Source organism: Homo sapiens, chromosome X (assembly GCF_000001405.40).
Source record: "Homo sapiens chromosome X, GRCh38.p14 Primary Assembly".
Lineage (NCBI taxonomy): Eukaryota > Metazoa > Chordata > Mammalia > Primates > Hominidae > Homo > Homo sapiens.
In genome coordinates, this window is record NC_000023.11 from 109,619,621 (window position 1) to 109,626,702 (window position 7,082).

Here is a 7,082-nt window from a genome sequence, read left to right on the forward strand (position 1 = left end):
TTTCACTGAACCCCACAACTGGAGTTTCTTTCTTGGGGTTTTACCTTTACACTGTCCTAAGTGATCCATTATAAAATGTGAATATCCATGGAAGGGGTGCCATCTGAAGCAATGATTAAGTATGCCACTTCTATTTAAGGGAATTTAACTGTTCTCCTTTTTCTCCAACTGAAAATGGCACTGTGGTAAAACGATGTCAATGTACTTAGCACTACTGAGCAGTACACTTTTAAAAATGGCTATGTGGGTAAATATTACATAATGCGTATTTTACCACAATTTTAAAAATGTATCTGAGGTATTTTCCTGTCTGCTCTGGCTGCACTCTCTTCAGAGGAAGAGGCACAGGCCACAGCTTTGACCACGACTCTGTCCTCTTTCAAAACATAGCAGATGGAGGACTAGTTGGGGCCACCTGGTCCCATGCTGTGAGGTCTAGCACTGAAAGAGGAATTGGCTTAATCACATTATTTGTCTCCCTGGACAGCCTATAGGTTATGTTAAGTAGGAACAAAAGGGCTGAAAAGTGACTTCTCATCCAACAGCTTCTCCCAAGGCCATTTTTGATGGAAAGGTCACGTTCACCTAGGCTGGCTATTGACCAATCTAATCTATTCACCTTTGGTGATCCTCAGTCATACTCTCTCACCTTCACAGAACATTCTAGTTCATTCTTCCTCTTACCTCCCTTATGAAGCCCAGCGTCCCTGATTCTTACCCTTCATTCTTTTCTCTTATGCTCGCTACCAATCCCTGAAGACCCCTGTCTTCAAAAGTCTAGACTCCAGTCCTGGTAGAGCGTTGTAAATAAAGTGTTACTGTCATACATTTTTTAAAGAGCACCATGGGCCTGCAAGTAAACGAGAGCAGAGTAGAATGGTGAGACAGTTATGCAGTTTCCTAGTCAGCCAAGATCCTGAGAATGGGGTAGATAAGCTTGAAAATCTGGGAGCCAGTGGCTAAGTATCAGCAATCCTCTTTTTTGAGCATTAACAGTAGAAACTACATAGTGGAAAATTTTCTCTTCCTCCCACTACTCCCACCCAAGTGCCAAGAGCACTCCTCCAAAGAAAGAAAAGGAAAGTATAAACTTAATACCTTCTATAGTTTCTACACTTCTCCTAGCCTTTTCTCATATATTATCTCACTTGATCCTCAAATCCCCACAGCTGTAGAGACTGGGGCCCTGAGAGGTTAAGCAGCTCATTCTGAGAAACAAAGCTGGTTAATTGGCAAAGCCTGAGCTGGACCCAAGTTCTCCTGATTTCTGGTCCTATGCTCTCTCCACATCATGGTATATTCGCTTTAGCTGGCAGGCAAGATTGTTTGGAAAGCAGCCCAGACCCCTTTTTTTGTTGCTGATGATACAAGTTATGTGCAGACCTTGGGTTTATAAAAGCAATGACAAATTGAAAAAGAGAAGATGGTAACTACAAACAAACAAAAGACCCCACTTATATCCTTCTAGAAAAGTAAAATTGACACACAGAATTGTGTCTGTAATAGAAGAAAAGCTTTCATTTCTTTTCGCACTGTCGATAAGTAATTCCAGACATTGAAACTCAAAACATCCCCTAGTTCCTCTGCAGAAAGCCTCAAGTTACAAGTCAGGAAGCAAAGGTCTTTTGCTTCTTTATTATTTTGGAGTGAAGATCTGAACCTGAGTTGAAACAGGATCTGGTTATGCAGAGAGGAGAAATAGACTGCTTGGTGGAGTGAAAAAAAGAATCATTCTATTAGAATGTTTAACATCTTTAAAATCACATTAAGGACAAAGCTAACATTTTCCCAACTTGTATAGTCAGCTATTGCTATTCAGGGATACATTATCAAAACTGGGGGTTGGCCAAGCACCTAGTTTTTCTTTCTTCTCCCTATGTTTTGCTGACCACAATATGATCACTTCAATGCTGTTAACACCTCCACTGTCTGGTAAAAGTTGAGTGTCCAGACTTCTGAAAAACTTCATTATCTGGGAGACAGTTGAAAGTCTGAGAGTATTTGAAAAAAGCCACTAGAAAGTAAATTAAATCACTCTTCCCAGCCCACCTCACTTTTCTGACCAGGAGGGTTCTATAGCTACTCTCGCTACATGTTCTTCATGGGTACCCTAAGTCATCATAAAAAGGTTAAAATGTTTTTAAAAGCAGGAACATTTTCCATGGGATTTGTTTTCCACAGCTGGCACATTAATGTGTATTATGAGCACTGTCCTAACTGCTCCCAGCTTCTTTTATTTTTGGCAATATATTCTTTTAAATGTCTATGGGAAAATGGTACAAATGTGTTTACAAAATTTCAACACCTGAAGCAGTGATTATGCTTCATTATCAAAATAACCTTGAGGCCGGGCGTGGTGGCTCACGCCTGTAATCCCAACATTTTGGGAGGCCAAGGTGCGCAGATCACTTGAGGTCAGGAGTTTGAGACCAGCCTGGCCAACATGATGAATCCCCGTCTCTACTAAAAAAAAAAAAAAAAAAAAATTAGCCAGCGTGGTGGCGCAGGCTTTAGCCCTGCTACTCGGGAGGCTGAGGCAAGAGGATCGCTTGAACCTGGGAGGCAGAGGTTGCAGTGAGCCAAGATCACGACACTGCACTCCAGCCTGGGTGACAGAGCAAGACTCCGTCTCAATTTAAAAAATTAATAATAATAACCTTGAGTCCCCATTATGCCAGATAAATGAGTGACATTGTTTTACTTAGAATACAGGACTGAAGACCGCCCCGTCACATGTCCTCAGCATTGCTGTATATTGTGCCCTTCCTCCACATCCTCCCCAGGCCTCCCTGCCTGGCTGAAATGGCTCACACAGCTTCCCTTCTCTTTCTGTCATCGTCTTGGACTGCTGCCCAATCCCTGGCCCTCACCTTCAGGGGTGACCTTATGGCTGGAACGAGGACTGGAGAAGAGCCAATGGGGCAAGGCCAGTATAGCTTCAATGAGTGAATCCTGGAAATAAAAGTAAGTTCACTTAACTTATTAACAGTTCCAATAAAATGCTAGATGGGCTGGAAGGTAAGACCCAATGCCTTGAATGAGGTTTGTGTGTTATCAATGCATTTAAGTGACTGGTAATATATTTGTCCTGCTATCATTATCAGAGAACCCAGCTATATTTAAGCAAATTGGCTTACTTCTAAGAGGTGATTTTATGTGTGGTTGATGAAGCCCAAACAGCCATCATCAGATATAAGCATTTCAGCTGTAAGCAGGGAAGTTTCTGACAACCTTCTTGAGACAAGGAGAATAAATCAATACAACACACACCTCTAACTTTACCCATCATTGGTTAAGATTGCTCAGTTCAAGAATTTTCTCTTTGACTTCAGATTTACACTATTTGGTGGCTTCCTTGTCTTTTAATAAGCCACTTCAAAAAAGTTATTGGCTAGGTGCAGTGGCTCACACCTGTAATCCCAGCACTTTGGGAGGCCGAGACAGGCGGATCACTTGAGGTCAGGAGTTTGAGAACCTCCTGGCCAACATGGTGAAACCCCCCGTCTCTACTAAAAATACAAAAATTAACTGGGCATGATGGGGCACATCTGTAATCCCAGCTACTCAGGAGGCTACTTGGGAGGCTGAGGCAGGAGAATCGCTTGAACCCAGGAGGCAGAGGCTTCAGTAAGCCTTGATTGTGCCACTGTACTCCAGCCTGGGTGACACAGTGAGACTCTGTCTCAAAAAAAGTAAAATAAAAACAATTATTAAGGTGGCTTCTAAAAATTAGGTTTGATAATAGCTAAAAGGGATGGGCCTTAAAGGTTTTTTAAAGTGCATCCTGAAAGACTGCATTGTGATCTTTGAAAGTGCTTCAGAAATAAGAAAAAAGGAGGGATAAGTAATAAAGTAGGTATAACTTTTGAAACACTTGAAAAAACAACCCATTTAGCCATATAAACATTTTCTTCACCCATAATCACACATATCAAATTGGAACTGGTTACATAGATATAAATATCACAACCACCCAACCCCCAAATCCAAACATCATTTCCAAAAGCAAAAGAAAAAGGATTCCTTCTCCATATGGTACTGGGTCTTAAGGCTGGAATCTCTGAGAGAAGAGTCTTGCGTTATTGTTTAAACAACCTTTATTACCTGCCTCTGACATTCCCCAGGGTTACAGAGCAGGGGGCATCTGAGCCTCAAGTTCCACGGATGAAGCAGACACTGCAATAACAACTGAATCAATAGAGGAGAGGCATTTGGAAGTACTGGGGTGATACACCCAGTAATGGTAATCCTCAGCAGAAGATGGCATAGCTACCAAAAATCAGGCGTTACCACTGGGATGAAAACTGGGGAGGCAAGAAAATCATACGGTTGGAGTCATAGATCATTTCCCTCCCCGTTGAGCACTCCTCCCCCTTCCGTCCCCCATTAAGTTCATTCTATCCCACAGACTGGTCCTAGTGTCCTGCTAGCTCCCTGCTGAAAGAGAGAGGGAGGGAAAAGATGTCTGAGGTCTCTTCATTTCCTTTGTCTCTGTCCCTAAGGCAACTGGAAGCTGGAGCTGCTGCAGTCGGCCTGGCAAGCCCGTTGGCTCTGCAGAGTGAGCAGTCCCTGGCAGCCCCTGGAGCAGCTGCCAGTTAGACGGCCCAGAGTTCTGATAGAATGCATTGCTTCAGTTCAGTGCCAAGTGTTGGACGTGTTGGATTCAGTTCCCAGAGGGCTGGAGCGTGCTGTCAGGGCTGTCTGAAGACAAGAGAGCAGAGGCAGTTTAGTGCAGTTGGATGTGCGGGGTAGGGGTGGAGGCGCAGGGGTGAAGAGGGAGAAACTGGCCCGAATGGGTAAGGTGGTGCTTCTCCTTCCAGGGCCTTCCAGACAAGGTCTCCTGGCCTCTCACCATTATCTGGGCCTCAGATGAGGCGAACCCTGGAAGGGAGTTGGGGGTGGAAGGTGGGAGGCGCGCCCAGGGATGAGCGAGATGAGGAGGGCGCGAACCAGCAATCTGGGGCTGTGGTTTTAGACCCGCTCAGCGCCCTGGGCGAGGGCAGGCAGCCCCTCGGAGGCAAGCTGGCGGCGGCCCTCGGCCTGGGAGCCCGCGGCAGCCTCGGCGTCGGCGGTCAGGGCGCCTCCCGGGGCCCATTCGTGCTCGGCGCAAGCCTGGGACGGCTCGTCCTTGGCCTCGACGAGCTTACGGGAGCGGGTGTAGGCCAGGATGAGGCCTCCGGCCAAGCAGGCGTAGAAGATCATGATGAGCAGGATGTAGAGATAGGCGTCGTCGCCCTTGGCGCTGGTCACCTCGCGGCCCACGAAAGGGTCAGGCACGACCCCCATGCCCATGCTGGGACGAGGGCCAGCGCCCAAGCCGCTGGCATTACCCCGGTGGTGCAGCTCGAGCAACAGGCGGCTCAGAAGGGTTCGCAGCCGCTGGCTCTCGCTGCAGTTCATGGCTTTCGGGGAGTGACACGGCGGCTCCAGGACGCTGCTGACCTTTCCCCCTGGGCGAGGGGAAGCGAGCTAGCGAGCGGGCCGGCCGGCGGGCAGGGCTCAGCAGCGGAAACAGCGGTAGCACCCAGCTCTCCGGCGAGCGCGCAGTGGCTGGGGGCGCCGACGGCGGGGCCTCCTTATTCCCTCACTCCCGCCCCTCCTCCCCTTCCCCACCACGCCCCCTCCGGCCCGCGGCCGCCTCTTCCCAGGCTCTGGCTGTCTCGCTGCTCCAGGGAAAGGGGACAGCTGGTGGGGGGAGGAGAAGGGGACAAGAGTGGGGGCGAGGCTGGGAGACGGGCGGAGGGGGCGGGGGCTCGGAATGCGCGAGGCCCCAGGCAGCAGACGCTGGCAGGGCAGCTTGCTGGGGCCAAGCCTGGACCCTGGGCTGCGGAAGAGAATTCCTTCCAAGTTCTGGCCACCTGCCCTGCAGGCCAGGCTTTGGCCCAGATACAGCATTTGGCCCCCTAAGGCAGCTCTGCCTTGGGGCGCTCAAGGGAGAGGGCAGACGCCTTTCCGCAGCAGAGACCCCTTGTCCACATTTTATGGAAGTTACTCCCATATACAGGGACCCAGGCCTATCTTTCTAGTCCTCATTCCTTTCCTTTTCCCCCCGCCCCCCTTTTCACCCCCCTCCCACCTTGTCGGAGGAGAGCATCTTATTCAGAAGATGCTCAGGCTGAATTTGGTGACTGAGTGCTCAGGCACCTGCTAGAAGGCCAAGGCAGAGTAGAACTCCCTGGTTATCCAAAATGGTTTCTGGTGATATAAGTGATATTACACCTTCTTGGAAGCACCCCTGCTCTGATGTCCTATGACACTTTTTGAAAAGTCAACACATCTTAGCACATGAATGTACTATTCATAATGGGAGCCTGTTTCCCATGGGTAAGTAAGCCATCTTCCCAGAAGTGAAACCAAGTTCTTCCAATAAGAGTAGCATGCACATTTTAAAAGGCCCTTTGACTACACTCTGTGGATATCTCGGGATCTGAAAAGTGCCAGTTCTAGAGAATATGCTCACCCTACTCCCAGTTAGGCCAGCAAACAGCTGTGTGCCTCTCTAGACTTGGTAACAGGTCTAGGCCCTAATGGCTTTTAGGGCAGCCATTTTTTTCTCAAAGGCTGTCTTTTTTTAGGGGAAAACAAGGCACCAAGACAAAGATCAGGCCAGATATGTTAAATTGGAAACAGACTGAGCTTCACAAAGGAAAAGGGTTGGTTTGTAGATGGTGGGGTAGAAAAAATGAGGTAGTGCTGGCTAGGTCTGGTTGTCCATAGTTGCCAAATGAGAGCAGAAAGCAAGAAAAGTGTATGACCTTAGGCACACCTTGAAAATAATGCTGCCTGTTCAAGACCGTTCAGTCCAGGGACCATTCAATCTATAGGTGCCATGGGTTAAAAAAGGAAGGTTTTCCGATGCCTCTTCCCCAACCGTTCTTCAGCCCACCATCCACCCAGGGGCTGTAGCCTTCTGTGTGTTCAGGTGAGGTTGGCACCAAACTGTATCCAGGGTCTCAAACAGAGCCTTGCTTCACAGCCTCTAAACAGGCCTCAGAGACATTCCACATGACCCTGACACTGGCTCCCTTCTAATCACCTTGCCTCAATATTCTCACCTCAGAGGGCCTCAGGAAAGAATTGTT

The 7,082-nt window shown here is 48.1% G+C and overlaps 1 protein-coding gene across 1 annotated transcript; it reads right to left on the reverse strand.

Moving 5' to 3' along the window:
• On the reverse strand, positions 4,080-5,552 carry KCNE5 (potassium voltage-gated channel subfamily E regulatory subunit 5). The gene has a single exon (NM_012282.4). It carries the CDS (start codon positions 5,398-5,400, stop codon positions 4,972-4,974), a length of 429 nt encoding a protein of 142 aa, NP_036414.1. The 5' UTR covers positions 5,401-5,552; the 3' UTR covers positions 4,080-4,971.

Coding starts and splice junctions, on each gene's coding strand:
- KCNE5 (NM_012282.4), bottom strand. CDS start 5,400: ATGAACTGCAGCGAGAGCCAGCGGCTGCGAACCCTTCTGAGCCGCCTG.